The following is a 21,145-nucleotide window of genomic DNA, read 5'->3' as shown; positions in this document are numbered from 1 at the left end:
TTAAAAGGAATTTCTTTTCCTGCTCTGGGGAGTTCCTTCCTTTTCCGCTCTGCTTCTGTTTCTTCTTCCAGGTGCTGCCACAGTGGCTGACGGAAGACTCTCGAAAGAGCTGATCACAGGCCACCCTCGGTCCAAATTCCTCCGGGGTGCCTTTACCCTCAAAGCGGTCAGGTTTCTGAGATGACAAAGCCCCTTTGACAGGCCTGTCAACTTCCCAGGCACCTACCAGGGCCCCAGCCAGGTCCAGATCCAGAGCTTCCAGGACCCACCATGTTGCTGGGCCCATTCCCGGCCCTTCTCTGTGTCTCTGCAGAGGCTTAATGGAGGGAGGTAGGAATGTGGGCCTCGGGGCCAGGGACCTGGAGTTGATCTGAGCATGATGGTCTGAATAGCACCTGGCCCACTGCAGGCCTCCATTGTTATTTTCTCTGTTATCTTCTCTATTGCTATTCCTTCAAGCTCAGTGTCACCTCTCTCTTTACCTGACAGGCTCTCTTGATTGGCAGCTTGTGGGGCAGGTGCCAAGCCTCATTCATTACACTTCTCAGCATCTAACACAGTGCCTGGTGCACAGAAGATGAATTCAACTGGCAACGCAAATGGTGTTCGTGAGCAGCACCCACAAGAACCACTCTCCACAAAGATCCAACATCTAGAAAGCCTGAGGCTCCACCCCTGGTTCGTTCTTTGGAGAGGACTGGCTACATAATTTGCAGGATTCAGGGTGAAGTGAAAATGCAGGTCCCTTGTGAAAAAGTGAAAAATTTTAAGACGGTGACAACAGAGGATTAAACCCAGCATGGGGGCCCTGTACAACCTCACAGATCACACATCTCTGAGGCAGCCTGCCTTTAGGTCAGGGGGGTTAGGTGTCTACTATTAAAATACTGCCTCTTGCCCCCATCTGAGACACTGCCTGCAATGTGGTTACACTCAGCTGAAGGGCAACATTTTTCTTATTAGGAAAAAGCTTCTGAAAATCCTGGAATCAGTGGGCAAAGCCTTGGCCATTCTTCCAGACAGGTCAGTGAAACGCTGATTAAAAACAAAAAGGACCCTAAGTAAATTCTCCTTCAGGGTGAATCTTTAAGTCACAAGCTTCTCCGCCTCCCTGGCTTCCCCTTTGTCCTGTTAATCAGGCTTTGTTTCTGTGACTGTTATTTATTTAGAGACAAGGTATTGCTCTGTCCAGGCTAGAGTGCCGTGGTTCCATCACGGCTCACTGTAGCCTCAATCTCCCAAGCTCAGGCGATCCTTCCGCCTCAGCCTTGTGACTATTTATTGCTGGGCACCCACTATGTGCAAGCACTGCGCTAAACTCTAGGGCTAGAGCAGTGACCAGTGCCACTGAGGTTCCTGCCTTCCTTGGGGTCACATTGTAGTGGGGAGCACAGACGATAAATAAGTAGATTAATATGCAGTAAAAAGTGAGATGGTGCTACATGCTAGGTAGCCAAAAAAAAAAAAAAAAAAAAGGCGAGTAAGGAGCTATAAAGCTGGGGGAGCCATAGTGGCGAAGTGATCGGGGAAGGCCTCCCTGAGGAGGGGCCTTCAGAGCAGACACCTGGATGAAGGAAGGGCAGGCCACACTGAGGTGGGCGGTGTGTTCAGGGCTGAGGGAAGATGAGGCACAAAAGCTTGGAGGCAGGAATGTGACTGGCAAGGGCAGTAGGGGGCAGATGGGGTAGTGTGGGAGGAAATGAGATCAGAGAGGTCAGAGGGATCCAGAGCTGGCAGGGGCTTGTAGGCTTGGAGGAGTTTGGATCTGACACCAATGGCCAGAGGGCAAGAGATCCTTAGCATTATTGGCAGCAGGCAGGCACTTCCCCACCCAGAGGTAACATTCAAAGTGTCTCTTTTCCTTGGCACACTGACTTGTGCTTCAGTAGTACCTCCTGGGAGCCAGGGAAGATGCAGGGGACACAGGAAATGAGAGGGTGCTGGGTTCAAAGCTGTCTTCTGCTGTGACTGCTTTGGAACTTGGGTCCATTGCTTACACTCTCCAAATCTCAGACTTTTGTGCCCTGCAGCTTTGTCAGGAGGGCTCAGGGACATGACATACCTTATGGGCAGCCTGGCACACAGTGGGCACTCGGGAAACATTAGCTATTCGGGAAACATTAGTGGTCACCCCTTTTCCCTTCTCCAGAGGGCTCTCTGTTGGGTTTAATCCCAGCATCACTAGAATTCCAGGTCCCCTCCCTCTTGGGGAACAATAGTGTTTTGTCATATGCATTGTCTTCACATTTCCTTCCTGGAGTTCAGGGGAGGAAAGGGACTTAAGATTTGTTCGGTGCCAGCCCCCTGCCTGACACCTGCTACACACAAGTCCACATCATCCCCCAGAAAGCCCAGGAAGTGGATACAAGCATCTTATTTCATGGGCAAGGAAGCCGAGACTCAAAGGGGCTAAGGGATGTATGCCACAGCTCATAGGTGGCAGTGCCAGCGTTCCAGTCCAGGCAGGACTGCAATCAGCCTGGTGGTGCTGGAGGCCAGTTGACTTTGTGTGACCCCGTGGTTTTCCCATGAAAGAAACATAAGGACCAGTGCTTGTACCCTGGGCCCCAATGCTGGGGTCTGAATCTTGCCTGTGCTTCTTCTAGGGAAGTTACAGGGACAAACATCCAACATGCCTCAGTTTCCCCATCTTGGGGAGAAGAATAACAGTCCCTACCTTACATGATTATTGTGGGAATGAAATGAGATTACTCACGCATGTACCTAGGACAGTCCCCGGCACACAGTAGTTGCTCAAATAACCTTAACTATCGTATTATGCGAAAGTTGTGACCTGGCATTTTCTTAGTAATGCTTTCTGAATCAGATCCTTCAAGCCTACTCTTCCTTAGGCTGCCCCAGAGGCAAGGAACCGGGTTCCCCGTCTGTGGCAGATTGTACTTTCACAGAGGACCACAGCAGCCTATCCCACTTTGCATGCTCTTCTGCATTGGCACTCTGCATTCCCCTTCAAGAAGTGGAGTCATTCCCCTCTTCCTTGGACCTGGGGCCAGAAGTCATGTTCCATTCTTATCATAGGTCCGAAAAGGTCACTGAGCTTCCCCTTGCTTCTCTTGGGATGCTTGCTCTGGGGAAGCCAGCTGCCTCCTAAGTCCAAGTGCTCCGGGACTGTCATTGTGGAGACCAGGAGCAGGTGCCGGCTGTGCCTGCATGGCAGTGAAGCCACACTGGACCCTCTAGACCAGCCCACCCACAGTTGATGCCATGGAGAGTGGAATGATTTTCCAGTGGAGCCCTGCCTGAATCTCCCAAGAGAGGGGGAGCCCACAGGGTCAGCTGAGGTCAGTAACCAGGCAGGCTCAGGGGCTCCAGGGCACTCACACAGGGTCTGACCTGAACAGAAGGGGAGGTTCATTTAGGGCTGCCTCTGGGGATGCCCCTGGGACTGCCCCCAGCCTGCTGCTTCCCACGGGGCTCCTGCCAGGGGCTGGGGGTGGGTTGTCCATCACAGACTCACCTGCTAGGAGGCCAGGGACTGGCAGCCCCGTGCCCCGGGAGAAATAGATGAGGAGAATGATTCATAGCCTGGCGTCCTCCACACAGGCTATAGTGGCCTCTGCCAGTTACTGTTGCCCCAAATTGCAGACCTAAGCCCTGCCTCTCCTTCTCCTTGGTGCGGTGGATAAATGGGTGGGGCAGACGCCAAAAGGGTCTCCAGGAGAGGTGTGCCATGTGCTGCCGGAAGGGGTGGGGGCCTGAAGGTTTCTCTAGTGCTTTCCTCCAGCCACTGGGATGGTGTCAAAGCACTCGAAGGAGGGGGACCCTTCCAGGGATCCAGAGACTTGCCCTTGTCTGTGCTGCTAACTGGGGAGGGAGGTTTTCTGATGAGGGGCTGTAATGAGTTCAGCATCCCATGCCTTGGTCTCTAACTTCTCCTTATGTCACCATTTGCTCCCACAAAGAAGGGCCTCAGTGTAAGGAATTGCAGGAGGGCCGTCCCTGGCATCAGCCTGTATTAGTTCAGCATTCATTCAGCTGGAGAGCACTGAGCACTGCCCCGTGCCAGGCCCTTCTTGGGTCCTGGAAGTGCCAAGATGAACAGGGCCTGTCTTGGGGGGTGGGGCACTGGAGCCAGCTCCCCACAGCTCCCAGAGCACTGTGCACCTCTTTCCAGCTCCATGTTCAGTGACATCTTGTGGGTAACCTGACACTGGCCATGGGGGTATCCACCCCCCCAAAATGGGCAGACACTGCAACTCAGGCTTCTCCTGTCCCTCCTCAGAACCAACTCAGCACTGGGCAAGGTCCCTTTCCTCAAGGAGCTCTGAATCTCTTTGTGAGACAGACCTCCGGTGACCGCATCACCTCCGCAGACCCCAGGTCAGTTCCTCAATGCTGGGGACAAGATGGGCCGTGTTTGCGGAGGAGATGGGTTACCATGTCTGCTGCTAACTGTTACCATAGATCCAGGGATCTGTGCTTCTTTCCCACACAGTCCCAGGTTAGTGGCACTCCTCTCCCTTCATAGTTGGCCCAATTGAGGCATCTGAAGGTCCAAGACCTTGTTAAAGTCTCTGTGGCTTGTTGGGCTGCAGACAAAAGTTAATCTCAGGTCTATTGGGCATTAGGGACCTTAGAAATCCTATGTCCAAACCTCTTATTTTTAAGTAGGCTACAGAATTCCAGAGCGGGGAGGGAAATTGTCTGCAGTCCCACGACAAGTTAGAGATAGAGGCAGGAGGGGAAGTCAGCCCCTAATTGGGACCTTAGCTAGGACTCCTCCTCACACCCCTTCCCTGCCCCTGGGATCCCTTCAGTGGTGTCACTACCTTCCAAAGAGATCCCGCTTCCTAGAATGCAATATACAAACCCCATGCTGTGGGACTGGTTTGTGTATAGAGTCAGATAAAGGGTTGGCCCCCACTCTGTCCCTGACCCCAGGGCCCCAGCTTTGAGAAGTGCCTCCTACCCTACTTGGCAGGGGTTGAGCCCAGTGCTTCCGCACTTTGTACTTTGCTTTTCTCCTCACAGGGTCAATAGTGGCTGTTTGAAAGATGCTGTTTCCCCATTCTTGAGGTTCTGCATTTTGCCCTGCCTTTTGGGTCCCGGGCTCAGGGAGGTAGCCTGGAGCCCACGGCATCTACTGGGAAGACAGAGTGGCCTCAAGCAGAGATCCACTTAGGAGTCTTCCTGCCACGCCTTTTCCCCATATTCATATTTATACACATCCTCTTACTCCTATTCACATCTCCTCATCCAAAATGCCTTTCCTGAGTGCCAGCATCCTGCCAGGCACTGCCAGGGCTGGGAAGCAGAGAGGTGACTCAGCGAGGTGTGCTGCCCTCCCCAAATTCATCCCTCCACTTCCAGGGCTCCTTGTGAGGTGATAGCTCCCAGCATCCACTGCAGTGAGAGGTGGTCAAGTGACAAGGTAAGCAAGAGGCACACCAGGCCCAACTCAAAATCCTCTCCCTTTTTCTGTCTTCCAGTTGAAATCTGAAGATTGGGCAGAGAGCACCAAGCCTGCACCCAGTGAGACAGCAGCCCCAGCATGTGGCTGTTTAAATTAAAATTAACTGATATTGAGTGAAATGAAAAGTTCAGTTCCTCCATCACACAGGCCATGTTTCAAATGCTCGGTAGCCACATGGGCACAGAATTGCAGCAAGTTCTATTGGAGGCACTGCTCCAAGGCCCCGGGGTCCTACTGACCAGGTGGAAGGCCACCCGCCAGCTGGGAACATCCACATGGAGCTTTGTGTGCCAGAGAAGTCAACTTCTTGAATGAAGTTAAGACGTGGGCTGGGGGAGGTGTTTGCCACTGTAACTAACAGGTATCCTGTTAGTTATCCTGGCCTGGAGGAGCGTTCCATCTGGTACAGAACAGAGATAAGTAAACAGTCCATCGTGGGCCGGGGGAGACACAGGAGCCTGAAGATCCCTGGGCCCAGATGCAAGGCGAGGTAATCAGAGATGGCCCCATGGAGGAGGCAGCACCTATCCCCAGCACCAGGTCCAGCCAAGGGAGAATGGTGAGAGGCATTTCGCCTCCATTTCTCTCCCGCAGTTCCTAGCTCTCCTTCTTTCAGGCACCAAAAGCCTCCTGCTGTCTTCTTTCCCACTGGCGGACATGGGAAACAGCAGCCCATCCTCCTTTGGGGCCCATACTCCCCGACTCTTGGTGCCTGCGATTGCACTGGGACAGGATGGTCGTGCTGAGGCCCTGTCACTCCCTTGGCTGCAGAGCACTTGATTGCGTGATCCAAGACAGGCCAGTGGCAGGGAAGGAGGCAGGCACTGAGGCTAAGGGTATTGTCTTCCCCAGGGCCTTCTCAGCAGCCTGAGCAGGAGGTGGGCGTCTTTCTCGCCACTCTGGAGACCCAGCCCTCGTAACCAGGAGATGGGCAGAGGCTGATCCGGAGGACCCTACAGGGCTTCGCGTGGACTGCCCTGGGCTTCACAGCTAAGCGAGCCAGTCAGAGCCCTTCCAGTTCCCACTGAGAGTTGTGACTCTTACATTCTTCCTTTTATTGGGAGATTTTCCCAGGTTGAGCTCGGAAAAACTCATTTATATAGTGGCGCCAATTCATTCAGCATACCCCATTTGCACGTTGCACGTGATCGAGGCCTCAGGCTGAGCCATGCAGTTAATGGTGAATTTTCAGGGCCATCAGTAGCAGTTGAGGGGGATGCTGGACGTCAGTTTCAGGATGGGGAGCTTGACTGTGCCCACACACAGGTGAGAGAGAGAAGGGGTGCAGGGCATGCTGGGCTCTGTGCCAGCCCACTGATCATTAACAGAAGGGACAGAAGGGGCAGACCCCAACGATGGGGTGGAGTGGGCAGAAAACTCAAAGAGGCAATTCCCTACAATAGCGTTGGAAGACTGAATAAGACAAGTGCCCTTCACATAGGCCATCAGTCCCTAGCCAGGGTGGGGACAGCTGGCCAGGAGTGAGAATATCCCCTACATGCCAGGTCTGCTGGGGCCCAGAGCCCACAGCCCCTGGGTCTGGGGTCTCCTCCCTGGGAGGCAGGCTGAGCTCCCTCTTCTCTGAAGAATGCCCAACTGTTTGAGGTCCCAGGGTGCGAGGGAAGAGCAACACAGGAGGCAGGAGGCAGAGCCCAGGCCCAGGTGTGCCACTAACTCCAGAGACCTTGGGCAGCTCACCACCTGTCTCAGAGCCGCAAGCGCTGGTCCATGAAAACAAGGGTTTTTATTCATTTGGCTTTGTATATTTTTAGCCACTGTACCAGTCAGGGTAACTGGAGGAAACAGATGACACACTCAAAGTCGAAGGACCTGAGAGTTTAATAAAGGAACTATTTACAAGTTGAGGCCAGGGTATAGGACACCACGAGGGGTCTGCTCCCTCCTCTAGGCCTAAAGGGATGAGGAAGCAGGGAAATAGTCCAGATCCCAGCAGGAGGGCTGAGTGGGGAGGGCCTCCTGCCGGGCCAGGGCCTCCTGATGGGCAAGACACTCAGCCAGAGTGTGGCCACTACATGCCCCCTGCCAGGGAACCCCACTGGCCAAAACCAGCCAGCACCCGAGCACAGGGACTCGTTGATGTGGTCAGGCTCTGGGGCACAGAGAAGGGGCAGTGGGAGGGAGGCTCAGATGGGCAAGTGCAGGTAGTTTAGGGGACCTACTGCTTCGTGGGGCCACTGTGAGCGGGGGTGCTTTGCTAGGCGTTCCACAAGCATCATTTCACCAAAACTCAGCCTGAGAGCTGCAGAGAGGGCACCAAAGCCTGGCAGAGCCCAGGTTCTTTCCACGGGGCCACATGGAGATTACTGCTGGCATTCTCCCAAAAAGTCGCAAAGTTGTTCTGGAGCAAGTGAACTCCAAGCCTGTGAAAGGTGAAGATTGTTCCAACCTCTACATTCCTCGCTGTGGGTGCAGGGTCAGCACTGGGGGACCCAGAACCCTTGGTTTCTTCAACCCAGCTTCCACCGGCAGAATGATTTAAATGGCAATGGTATGCAAGCAAAGACTGGCCAGGATAAAATCACAGCATGGGCAGGGTTTAGAGGTCGCTGTCCAAACTCAGAGACTGTCCTGAGGAATGACTGGGGCTGGTCAGCACCTCAGCAGGTTGGAAGGAGGCTGGGCCTGACACAGCAGGAGGAGCCAGGAGCCCCAGGGGCTTGGCCTGCAGGAGCCAGGGTGGCCAGTCTTGGGGCTACTGCAAGGAGGCCACAGCAGGATGCATCCTCAGTGGGTCAGGGCCAGAAGGCCCCTGGGAGCACTTGGTCCAGGCCCTGCAGGGGCAGACAGAGAAGCCAGAGGGGAGGTGGGGGAGTCTCAGTGGCAGGCCAGGGCTCCCCAGCAATTATACCAGGACTGCTCTGTCCCCAGGGAACATATGTAATGATGAATGCACAAAGCTCTGAAGGTAGATGCCTGGTTTCCCATCCTACTTCCAGTAGTAAGTTACTTCTCAGTTCCTCAGTTTTCTCCCCTGTAAAATGAGAATAACAGCAGAATTTGCCTAACGAGTGTGAACAAGCTCATCAATAGCAGGTTCTTAGGACAATGTTCTTGCACATGTTGAGGCCTCAGTGATCCCAGACGCTGTCATTAGCACTAGGCTCTGTGCTGCCCCTGGACCCACATCATCTCATTTATACGCCCCAAGCACTTGGGGTCTGCCTGGTCCACAGGCCTGTGCTCAGAGCCACTGCCCTAGCTGCCTCCTTGTTGGGCGCCTACTCCACACTCAGGTCTGTGTGACACATTTGTCCATCGTCCAGGCTGATCTTTGCTGTAAAATTGTTGGCTGTTTTCTTTTGAGAGACAATCTGGTGCCATGGAGGGAATCTCCACTTTCTCATCTAAAAAATTGACTGCTGAAAAGAAACACACTGTTATATGCTAATGTGTTGGATGCCATGCCAGACTCCAAAAAGACCAATTTTCCTTCCTTCCCAGTGGCACCTGCAGACTCTCAGGACATTCGTGGTGCTTAGACTTATGAGCCCTGCCAGGCTGTGTCCCTGGGTTACTGAGTCAGGCTGTCTGGGAGCAGGGGATTGCGATCTCCACTCTACACAAACACTTCAGGTGACCCTGCAGGCAGGCAGCACTCTCCCCCTATGCCTTCAGTCCAGGGTCTGTTGACCAAAGGGGCCTGGAGGAGGCTGTGGGGAGGAGGCCTCATCTCAGCTGGGGCAAAAGAGCTATGGTTGCAGGACCAGGTGACACAGGCCAGCCTTGAAGTCGGGCAGTCCTGGTCTGCACCTGGGCTGAGCCACACACTGGCTGATGACCTTGAGTAAGTCAGTTCACCTCCTTGAGTCTTGCTTCCCTCCTCTGCCAAATGCAGATAACCCCTCTAAACCTTGTAGGGCAGTTAAAAAAGAAACCATGTAGGTCTGTGGTGTCTGGACCGGGTGGAAGCTCCGTCCCATGGAAACGCCCTTTGGCTCTCCCTGCAGAGTTGATGGGGCTGTGAAAAGAAAAACGCTCTCCCCAGAGGTGGAATCTTAGCCCAGGTGCTCCTGGCCGGCTGGCAGAGGAGGGGTTAACGATGACTATGTCCACGGAACAATAAGTGACCGGTGGTGGAAATGCTGAACTATGATGATGGAGCTGACAGAGGCTATTTTTGGAGGCCAAACCGCATGGAGTAATAGGATTGGAGCAGAGGCAAGCGTGACCAGAGCCGATGTTCTCAGCTACCGAGGCAACAGCCGGCTGGCCTGCGCCAAACAAAACACTCCGCCGCTCCTTTCTCCCCGCGGGTTTTATCTTGACCTTCATGCAAGCTACCCTTGCCAGCACCAAGAAAAAGATTGCTTTAGATTTCCTAACTGTGGTGTTCTTCAGACTCACTGCTCCCACACCCTATGACTTCGGCTTGGTGTCCACTGTGCAGTGGGGAAACTGAGGTGGGGTGGGGAGGGGCAAGCACATCCCAGCAGAGGTGGCCTGGGGGGAAGGGAGCTCCTATGTCTGACTCCAGGCATGAGTCAGGGTAGTCTAAGGGCTGTCAGCCCCCGGTCCTCCCTGAGTAACCCGCAGCTTGATGGGTAGCCCAGGATCCAGCCTCCTTCTCTGTCACACCGATGCCTTCTATCTGTCAAAAAGCCATGCTGGGGAGACGATCCCTTTCTGCCCTATACACCTGGAAACTGCATCAGGCTTCGACTTGCTGCTCTCACTGAAATCTCCCTGGAAGAGGAAGGCATGGGGAACTCCTGTTCTGGGGGCAAATTCGGTCTATCTGGGCATTAAGAGCAGCTCGAGAGGGAATAAGACGAGGAGCATCTCCACGTGTGCCCAGTGGTGAAGCCGAGGCTACACCAGGCGTTTACTCTGTTAATCCTCATACCTTTGTGACACAGCCGTCATTGTTCCTATGCCACAGGCACTTGACCACTTGATAAGAAGCGGCAGGGGCCCTTTGCCCTCTACCCCTGATGCCAGAAGATCCTTGGGCCCAGATGGGGGCCCCTCCACACACTCCTGTGTTCAGCCGGTGCCCTTACTGGGACATCTCCAGGGCAGATTGACATGTATAATGGAAGAGTACATTTAAAATGTGGGAATGCCTTTGGTGTTTTTCTTTTCTTCCCTGTTGGTGACCTTCCCACTAGTCTGCCAGAGGCCCAAGCCTCCAGGAGGATCAGGGTTGTTACAAGACACAAAGAGCAAGTGAGCGCCTAGCCAGACTAGGATCTCCAGGCCCACAGCAAGAAGGGTTTGAAAGCCAGGCTTCCCTGCAGGGGAAAAAGCTTTCTACGTCTGCACGTTGCCCTTTCTATATCAAGTGCAATGCCTGCAGGTCTGAGCGTGAGGTTTACTCTAAGACCGTGTCGGGCAGAGGACACAGAATGTGATAAGAAGGTGAACTGGAACTGCATAAGACATCAGAAGGGAGATATGTGAGGCTGCACCCAAGGAGGGGGTAAGAAACTTCCTAGATCCAAGGGAATGCTGACCCTGACCCCTCCCCTGCCCCCCGTGCTTCTGGTGCCAAAGACCCCACCTCTACAACATCAGGCTGCTACCCAGAGTAGATGGTGGTGGGAGGTTCAGGAAGTACCAGAGGGGCTTGCCTAGCACCCCCAGGATCCTAGGCTCCCAACTGTGTGGAAGGCAGACCAGAGGGAGCTGAGAGTGGCCGGTGCCCTATAGTCAAAACTGCAGAGCAGCCAGCCGTGCCAAGGGTCACTGGGGTCATAGCCAGACCTCCCTCTAGCAGGTGGCAGCCCCAGAATAGGGACCCAGCCACAGGGCCCAGAGCAATTCCCCTGCATGGCTTAGGTGTAGTAAACAGACCTCAGGACCCCCCCACTCCCCGCCCCAACCCCGCCGGCCCCAGGACTGCGGGGCGTGTTGCAAGCAAGATGGCCCGACCCAACACCCCAGGGCCACCAGGCCCCTCCACTGCAGCCTGGCAAAGAGGGAGTGGGAGGAAGGGTGTCCTCCTGAGAGCAGAGACAGCCCTGCAGCAGCTCTGACCTTTGAAAAGTCAGGTACTTAGCTATAAGAGACAGAATGAACTTGAACTAGGATGTTTAACTCTCACTTGCCCAGCAGGATGAGGTCAGATGGGGTGTTATTTGCGTGGTGGTGGTAGTTGGGGGGGCATTGTGTACATTTGGAGCCCCTGCCCCAGCTTGGGAGGGCCAAACAACATCCCTGAGCTCAGCAGCAGCTGGGCCTGAGTTTACTCCAAAGCTATATCCGAGGGGCAGGTTTGCTGAGCAAATGAAGAGTGCAAACAGGATTGCAGGGGGATTGTTTAAACGCTTTGGGCAAACAAACTTCCCTAGCCCCCAGGGCTCCCCTGGAAGCACCTATTGGCAGGCAAACAAAGGATGCACTAATTTATCCCTTCACTGAGGCCCCGCCCCTAGGGATACTCGCCCCTCCCCTGAGCCCCCAACACGGTCACTCGTTATCCTTGATAAGGCTGCAGTGTGGAGAGTTCTGCCCTCTGTTGTCCCTCCATCCTCCTGCCACAGGGAGGGCGAATTAATGAGGTGTCCATGTGACCCGCCCTCCTCTTGTTTAATGTACGGCAAAGGTCAGAGTCACAGAACAGTGGCCCCGTGTCGTCCGGGCTTGTCCAGAGGGGGAAGAAATGGCTGATCCGGGGTTTTATGTTTCTATTAATACCTACCCTAGCACAAACACATTGTGACTCAGCCTCCTCATGCGCAGGTGCTCAGGCGCCCGGCGCCTCCTTCCCTCTGCCCGCCTCGCCCCCAGGGGTCGCCCGCTGGGCTGGCGGTTGGAGTGCAGGTTCTGCCCCCCACCCACTGAGACATAACTTGGGCAGTGGGTCCCTAAACCAGCATTTTAATAAGCATTTCTGGTGATGTTTCTGCTGCATACAGGAGTTCAGGAACCACCAGCACCGTTTGGTTCTGGACATCTACTTTTTTTGTTGATTGAGTGAAAATTGACTGAATAAATGGAAGAAGAAATGAGCCTTCCTGCCAGTCTTGCCAAGTGGGGTCCTGAGTGCTCCACGCTGACCAGCTGCATGGCCTTGAACCAGGTCTCCACCTCCTTTCCTCACATGTGGAGTGGGTTTGGGGGAAGGTTTAATGAGATAATCCACTTAAAAAGCGTGCAGAGTGCCCAACACAAGTGCTAGGGAGTAAGAGATACATAACCAACTTTATGGAGGTGTAATTCATATACAATAAAATGCACCCTTTGAAGTATACAACTCAATGATTGCAATATAGTTTATGACATGCAATTGTATTAGACATAGTAGCACTTGTATTAATTTCCCTTAATGCCCAGGTTGTCCTGAGTGGGACCTGCAGGGCCTTTTGCCTATCAAGGTTTGAACACTCTTCTTAACAGGAAAGCCAGGGTGATCCCTGAGCCCTAGAACTCTCCTTCTAGCCAAGTGTCTCATCTGGGGACCTGGCTTCCTGCCCCTCCCTATAGCGGTAGGACCACAGCAGATAAGTCAGGCACACTGTGAGGCACCGTGGGTCACCACATGGGAACAAGTGTCTGCATCTAGACGCTGAGGTCCTCAGAGGGCTCTAGGGTTAAATGGGCAGTGGTGGGGACAGGAATGCTGGGCTCCCTTCACTGCCAGCTCTCCAGCCATCCTGCCCTCATCCTGACCCTGAGGAGAGAGCACAGAGGGTGTCTTGTCCTTTCACTGCTACCCCTTCACGGGGGCTTCTGGGCTACAGAGGCAGGTCACCTGAAGACTTCCAGAGAGGAGGCGTGGAAGGGAGCATCAGGGTGTCAGGGTGACCCAGGCCCCTCCTAGCAGGCCTATGCTGGGCTATTTTTACTTCAAGATGTCCTTTAGCAGCTAAACGAGTCTCCTTTCCCACCTTTCCTTGGGCCTTAATCTCTGAGCTGACTGTGTTACCTTGTCTGGCTCTGGCATCGTCAGCCTGTTTCTCTGTTTATTTTTTTAATTTTTATTTTTTAATTTTTTTTAAACAGAGTTTCGCTCTTGATGCCCAGGCTGGAGTGCAATGGCCCAGTCTCTACTCACTGCAGCCTCCGTCTTCCGGGTTCAAGCAATTCTCATGCCTCAGCCTCCCGAGTAGCTGGGATTACAGGCCCCCATCACCATGCCTGGCTAATTTTTTGTATTTTTGGTAGAGACGGGGTTTGGCCATGTTGTCCAGACTGGTCTCGAACTCCTGACTTCAGGTGATCCGCCCGCCTCTGCCTGCCAAAGTGCTGGGATTACAGGCGTGAGTCACCGTGTCTGGCCCAGCCCTCTCCTCTGTCCTGCACAGGTGCCAGAGGCACGGGACTCTGCGCATGTGTGCAGGAATGTGTGCGTGTGTGCATGTGGCGTGTGTCTGTAGGACTCTGTGCAGCGCATATGGGATGCATGCATGTGTGTATGTGTACATGTGTCTCCATGTGCAAGAATACACATCTGCAAACACACTTGCATACATGAGTATGATTTCTGGTGTGCACACACACATATGCTTGAATGCTTGAGCCTATGTACATGAGTGTGCAAGGGTGCGTGTGCAAGAGGTTTCTGTCTATACAAACTCTTAGATGATGCCAGGTGAGTGATGACCTCAGCTGTCAGACCAATGTTCGGGAATGCAGACGGCCAAGGGAGCCCTGCTGTGTCAGTGGAGGAGACAGTTCCCGCCTGGAGGGCTGTCCTGTGCCCTCTGTTTTCCCACTCCTCAGAATGTTAATAAATCTGTTGAGTCCAGATCTGGCACCAGACTAAGTGCTTTGCTGCACCATCTCATCTAATAATCATAGCAGCAACCTGAGGATGCATTATTATCCCCATTTCACAGATGAAGGGTCTAAGGCCCACAGATTAACTTGAAGTAGCAGCAGAATCACATCTGACTGGTTTCAGAGTGTTTGCTTTGTGTTGTTTGGGTACAGTGATTGGAGATAGACACACAGAGACACACACACTGTACATTTAATAGTGCAGACCCAGCACCAGTCGGTTGCTCTTATCGTCTGTGAGGACATCAGGAGCATAGCCTTTGCTGGGAAGGTCAGTGAAGGAGGAGCAGGGCCAGACTTGAGTGCAAATGCTTAACTTGGAAAACTGGCCTGAAAGGGTGGGCAGACAGTGGACGTTAGGGCTCCGTGGGAACATCGTGCTGAAGATACCCTGAAATGAGAGTGAGCAGTCTCCCTCCATCCAGAAGACAAGCCCAGCCCCTGCTTGGAGGGCCCCCAGTGTAGTCCTGAGCCCTAGGTGAGAATACATCCCTGAAACGGGAAGGTTCCCCTTGCCTGCTCTCCACCAGCCTTGGAGAGACCCCGTGGTGCCCCATCACACCTCTGTCATCCAGGCCAGCGGCCGCAGGAAAGAGAAAGGGAGGGAGGGACTCTGCCTGGAGCCCCTTGGAAAATAAACAGCTGCACTTTGTGCTGTTGAACCAAAGAGACAGGTCAAGCCGCTAAACCTCCCTTCTCTCCTGTTGGCCATAAAACTAATTAGCCCTGGAGATGGTAAAGGCTATAAACCAAGTACCAGGGCTCCTTCAGAGGGTTCTCGGGTCATCACAGTCATAAATCAGCGTGTGGTGAGGCCAGCACTTGAGTTTCTGGGCAGCACTGTCAGAATGGGCAAGGACAGGGGTCCTGGTTCAGGCGGGGGCTCTTTCCACACCAGCTTTTTGAAGACTCCCAATTCCCCAGCAAGAAGATGGCTTTGTGCCCACTTTAGATGAGTGGCAAAGTCAATGAGGGCTGGGCAGAGGGGCATAAGCCGCCTGTCTGAGTTCTGCTCCTGGGGGCAGGTTGCCCTCCATCGTCAGGAGGTCCTGGTGGAAGGCCTTAAAGGGTCCTTGCAGCCTTTGCAGCTGAGGGATGAGCCCTTGGCTCCTCCACCATCCCGCCTCATCCCTCCTCAGAAACACCTCAGGGCCACAGTTCTGAGTCACTTTGGCTGGGCAGAAGGTCCACACCCATGTAAGGGGCTCAAATGGGGTCCAAGGACCTGGGACTCTGGCCTTGCTCTACCACCAAGCAGCTGCTGGCCTTGGGCAATGCTGCTGGCCCTCCCTGGTACCTGGCCCTGGATGCCTGGGCCACACACTCATTAGACCAGGTGAAATTGACCACCAGCTCCGCATTTCATGGTTCACAGGGCCCAGCTCCAATTCTTGTCTTCAAACCCTCTAGCCTTTGCCTTCCAGATTGAGCAGTGATGGGAGAGGTGGTGACGCATCCCTAGGGGGAGGTCATGGTCCTAATGCTGGTCTGCCCTCCCCAGCCAGAGCCAGCTGGGTCCTCTGGAAAGCAGGCACTGAGACTGACTTAGGAACCTGAAAGATTTCTTGTAGATAGTGCCTGTGAACTATGGGGAGTGGCTACGGGGAGTGGGATGGGCAGGAGGCACTGATACTGCAGTGTAGACATGCCAACCTCTTGGCCAGCTTTACAGGGAGATCCAGAGCAAGGATGGCCCCTCAGAAGAGTCCCACGTGGGCAGGAGTAGCAGGACCTAGTGCCCTGCCCCACCCTGCTCAGTCCGTGGCCCAGTGCTACCCAGGATGCGGGGTCTTGGCTGGGAAGTGGAGGAGGGTCCTGAAAGTGCTGCAGGGAGCCTGGTGGCTCCTGTGCTCTCCGCTGCTTGAGGGCAAGTTCTCTCTTAAAAGGAGATTAAAGAGGCACCTCTGAGGCTGCCATCCCAGCCGTGTGACCCTTGGCATGTGAGGAACAGCTCTGAGCTCAGCCTCGTCATTGGGTGAGGAACAGTGCCTCCGTCCTAGGGCTGTCAAAGACAGTGTCAAGGAGGCCCTCACACAGGGCCCACTGCATGGTGTGGATGAGGGGCGGCCGCTATTATTATGATGGTGGTTTTTAACTTTATTGGTGTGTTTTCCCACTGGCTGTTGAGATTTAAATCCTGGAGAGAACCTTTGTCTCCTGCCTTCCCTCACCTTGGGCAGTCAGCTCATCATCCCGGGCTCCCAACAGCCATTCCTGCTCTGTGGGTGGCTCCACGCCCTGTCTGTCTCCAGCCCCAGGAGCCGGTTTTGGCTGACAGAAAATAATTCTGGATCTGTGGTGTTATGGGCTAAATTGTGACCTCCCTGTCTCCTGTTCGTAGGTTGCAGTTCTAAACCCCAGTAGCTCAGAATATAACTGCATTAGGAGAGAGAGTCTTTCAAAAGGTCATGAAATTAAAATGAGGTCATTGGGGTGGGCTATAATCCAATATGACTGATGTCCTTATAAGAAGAGGACATTTGGACACAGACACACACATAGGGATGACCACGCGAAGACAAAGAGGGAGGGTGGCACCTACAAACCAGGGAGAAGGCCTGGGACAGAGCCTTTCCTCATGACTCAGAAGCAACCAGCTTTGCAAATACCTCATCTAGGACTTCCAGCCTCCAGAACTGTGCAACGATACATTTCTGCTGTTTAAGCTCCCAGTCTGTAGTACTTTGTTATGACAACCCTAGCAGACTAATACATGTGGTTTTAAAAAAATGCATCAGTTAGAGTACCTTCAACTGCAAATAACAAGACATCTGATTAAGAGTGGCTTAAGCCACAGAAACATTTAATGACCTCATGCAGCAAGAAGCGCAGAGATGAAGAATTCTACATCTCTGAAGAACGTAGAATTGTAGAATGTAGAATCGAAGAACGTAGAATTGCAGAATGTCAAGGGCCCTACCTCTTCCCAACCCTGCACTGTTTCCTGAGTTGGGCTTTTGGTCTTTGGACAGCTTTAGATGGGTGGTCTGGGAGGGTCTCACTGAGGAAATGACATTTGACTAAGACCTGTAGCTTGAGAAGGTGCCAGCCCAGGCCGGGCACAGTGGCTCACATCTGTAATCCCAGTGCTTTGGGAGGCTGAGATAGAGGGATTGTGTGAGGCCAGGAGTTCGAGAGAAGGTGCCAACCCTGAGCAGAGCCAGGAAATGACCAGCTTCCATTGCTGTGGAGCCAGGACCTGCAACCCCCCTGGGGCTGGGGCTGGATAACAATTGGCCACTGACTTTGACTCCCAGGCCAAGGCCACCTGGTTCAGTGCCTGTCTTCAGGCAGAGCCAGGCGTCCATCCAGCATTGACAGCTCATTATATTTGACTATTTTTCATTTCTGGCAACATTAGTAGAAGGATATGCAAATAAGAAAATCAACTGAATTTGTTTCTCAGAACAAAGAATGACATTTGATCAGCACAATAAACACTTACATGCAGCCATTTGCTGTGTGTTTACAGTTAATAGAGAAATAATGGGTAGAAGGAAAAGCGTGAAAAGCAGAGACATAGAAAAGAAGAGGAATAGGAGAGACCCTGGTTGTAATAGAGTGAATAGAAGATCAAGGCGTCTGGAGACCTGAGGTTGTTCATTCATTCATTCATTCATTCAACAAATATTTATTGAGAACTTACTAGGTTCCAGGAAATTTTTTTTTTTTTTTTGAGATGGAGTCTTTTTCTGTTGCCCAGGCTGAAGTGCAGGAGTGCAGCTGCACAATCTTGGCTCACTGCAACCTCTGCCTCCCAGGTTCAAGTGATTCTCCTGCCTCAGCCTGCTGAGCAACTGGGATTACAGGTGCCCGCCACTACGCCCAGCTAATTTTTGTATTTTTAGTAGAGACAGGGTTTCACCATGTTGGCCAGGCTGGTCTCAAACTCCTGACCCCAAGTGATCTGCTCGCCTCGGCCTCCCAAAGTGCTGGGATTACAGGTGTGAGCCACTGCACCCAGCACCAGATACAGTATTAGATGCTGAAAACAGATTGGTTAAAGCAGATACTGCTCCTGCCTCCCCGGGACTTACATTGACATGGGAGTTGGAAGACATTCATCAAGCAATCTCACAAATACATGTATTGTGACATGTACTGTACTGTGACAGATAATAATGCATAATACGAAGAGGGCATAGAGGGACCTAGGCCAGCCAGGAGGGGAAGAAAAGCTTCCGTAAGGAAGTGATGAGATCAGCAGGGAGAGCAAGAGTCAATGAGGCAAAGAGATTGGGGTTGAGGGTAGGTGTGTCCAACACAGGGAGCAACATTTGCAAGGGCCCTGAAGGAGGAAGAAGCGCGGTACCTCTGGGCCCTGAAAGCAGGCCAGTGGGAGAGAACACAGCAGTGGGGCAAGTGAGAGGAGGGGATACAGAGAGGTGGTGGGGCCAGAGTGCTCAGGGTCTACCGAGCTGTGGTGTGGAGCAAGGGTCTCTGTGCAAGTATAGTATTAGGATTTATGTTTTAAGATTATTCCAGCTTCTGGGTAGAGAATGGATGGTAGGGGCAAGATGGGGCAGGAAGGCTGGTGGGAAGTCCTTTGAGCCTGTCTAGGCAAGAGACAATGGTGGCTTGGACTAGGGCAGATATCTCAGCCTCGGCACTGCTGACATGGAGTGCTGGACACTTCTTTGTTGTGGGGGGCTGCCGTGTGCATCGCAGGATGTTTAACAGCATCTCTGGCCCCTACCCACTAGATACCAGTATAACCCCCCAAAATTGTGACAACTGAAAATGTCTCCAGACATTATTGGAAGTCCTCTGGTGGACAGCATTGACCCCTGTTAGAACCCTGGACCAGGAGGAGGGTGGTGAAATGGAGAGAAGTGGATGGCTGGAGAGAAGAAAGTTAAGCGGGGAGTGAACAGGAATTGGCCATTGAATGTGTGGGAGTGGGAGGGAAGGTGCTGAGGGTGACTCCGTGCCACAGGATGGATGTGGGTGCCCCTCGCTGGCATGGAGAATGGCAGAACACAGTCCAGGCTGGAGTGAGCACGGGAAACTGGCCATATCTGTGCTCTGCCATGAACTAGCAACATCTCAGGCACGTTATTTTCTCCTACTTGGTCTCGATTTTCTCACCCTCAAAAGACAATATTTGTGCTTGATCTAGAAGAGCAGATATGCAAAGGGGCCACTCTCCTTCCTGCACCTGAGGCAGACATAGCTAATCAATCACAGATCTCTGAGCCTGGAGTCTTCTCCCCACAGTGCTTCAGGACAGCTGGCAGTGGAGGCAGGGTGTCAGAGAGAAAACCCATTTGCCATCACTGAACTTGAAATTCATTTCAAGCCCTTCCAACTTACCACAACATTGACATTTTCTTGATGACAATCAAAGTATGCTTGATAAATTCTGAGCAACAGTGTGCAGACCAGGAGCCTCCCCAACCATCAGGCCAGTCCCATTCCTGCCATGTCCTCCACCCCAAGGAGAGCGCTTCCTGCGTGCCTGTTGTTGCAAAAACATAACAGGGCTTTGGAAGTCTCCGGTGACAGACTCCTAGAGGCCTCGGGGCTGCCCCATCCTCAGGGTCCTTGCTGCTGTCTCCCCCTCTCGCTTGATGTGTCTCTGAGATTGACTGTCTGCCTCAGTCTCTGGGTGACTGAATCCCCCTTCACCTCATCCATGCATTCTCTGTCACTGTCCCCAGACAGCTCATAACAGAGTGGAAGTAGATATTTTATTGCTTTTTCACTTTTATTCAAAAGCACTTTATGCTTCCTGTTCATGCTTTAAAAAGCAGATGCATGAAATGTGAATTTTTAAATATTTGTCTTCCTTCCAATTCCAATGATGTAGTGAATCCACCATTCGAATAACCTTATACTACTGTGGTGGGTTAAATTGCGTCTCCCAAAGATATGTAGGGTCTTTGCCAAAGTAACCAAATTAATATGAGTTCACATTGGATGTGAGTGGGTTCTAATCCAATGATCGGTGTCCTTATAAGATGAGAGAAATTTGGACACAAACACATGAGGTGAACACTCTGTGACAACAGAGGCAGAGGTTGGAGTGGTGAGTCTGCAAGCCAAGGACCCCAGGGATTGCCTGCAGCCATCAGAAGCCAGGAGAGAGGCATGGAACAGATTCGTCTTCATAAGCCCCAGAAGTATAATAACAGTGATGTAATAATGTTATTATATTATTATAGTAATCATATAATAATATGATAATCATATAATGATAATATGGTGATTATTGCTGTTTTACAGCATTATTAACCTTGCTGACACCTTGACTGCAGACTTCCACCCCCCAGAGTCTATGAAAGAATACATTTCTGTTGTTCTAATTCACTTAGTTGGTGATAATTTGTTACAGTAGCTCTAAGAAATGAATACAACATCCAACCCGAATTCCCTGGAAATTAGGCTGCCATTTATGTTTGTGGTGTGCGTGGATTTCTTCCTCTCCAATTGGTGACTCACAATGGAGAAGCAGGTTTCCCTGCCACTCACCTCCTTGCCCCTGGGCCACCTGCGTCGGAGACTCACAGGCTCTGAACTAGGACCGTGCCTCCCAGAGCTTGGTCCCTGTACCAGCCAGTCTCCAGGATGGCCTGCAATGACCCCTGCCTCCTGGAATGCATGCACATGGGTAGGGTCCAGCCTCATACCTGCCTGTCCCACCTCACTCGCCCCACCCAAATCCCAGCTGTGCTGGGTCCTGTCTTTATTTAAAAGATTGGTATTTTGTCGCCATGGATGTTTTCACATTCATTTTTATTTTTCAAAATATTACTTGTTTTCACCACAGAGGCTTTTTTTTACCCCTTTAAATTTTGCACCCAAGCAAGTGCCTCACTTAGTTCTGGCCCTGGTCCCCTCTCACGTTGCAGCAGGACTGACCTAGCTGACAAATGGAATAATAATTGTGACTTATGAGGCTGGGTCACAAAAGCCATTTCAGCTTTCTCCTTGGTCTCTTGCCTCGCTCACTCCAGCAGAAGCTGGTTG

General features: G+C 52.5%; 2 annotated features.

Annotated features, from left to right (window-relative positions):
- Positions 846–1,448: an enhancer, noted in NCBI's record as "NANOG hESC enhancer chr2:121332587-121333189 (GRCh37/hg19 assembly coordinates)". NCBI's record gives its function as "activates a minimal SCP1, AML or CMV promoter by ChIP-STARR-seq in naive H9 embryonic stem cells {active_cell/tissue: H9 hESC(naive)}" and the evidence as "EXISTENCE:reporter gene assay evidence [ECO:0000049][PMID:30033119]".
- Positions 16,027–16,528: an enhancer, noted in NCBI's record as "H3K4me1 hESC enhancer chr2:121317507-121318008 (GRCh37/hg19 assembly coordinates)". NCBI's record gives its function as "activates a minimal SCP1, AML or CMV promoter by ChIP-STARR-seq in naive H9 embryonic stem cells {active_cell/tissue: H9 hESC(naive)}" and the evidence as "EXISTENCE:reporter gene assay evidence [ECO:0000049][PMID:30033119]".

This window comes from Homo sapiens, chromosome 2, assembly GCF_000001405.40.
Source record: "Homo sapiens chromosome 2, GRCh38.p14 Primary Assembly".
Classification (NCBI taxonomy): domain Eukaryota; kingdom Metazoa; phylum Chordata; class Mammalia; order Primates; family Hominidae; genus Homo; species Homo sapiens.
Note: the sequence above shows the minus strand (reverse complement) of the source record. Positions and strands in the feature narration are given on the sequence as shown.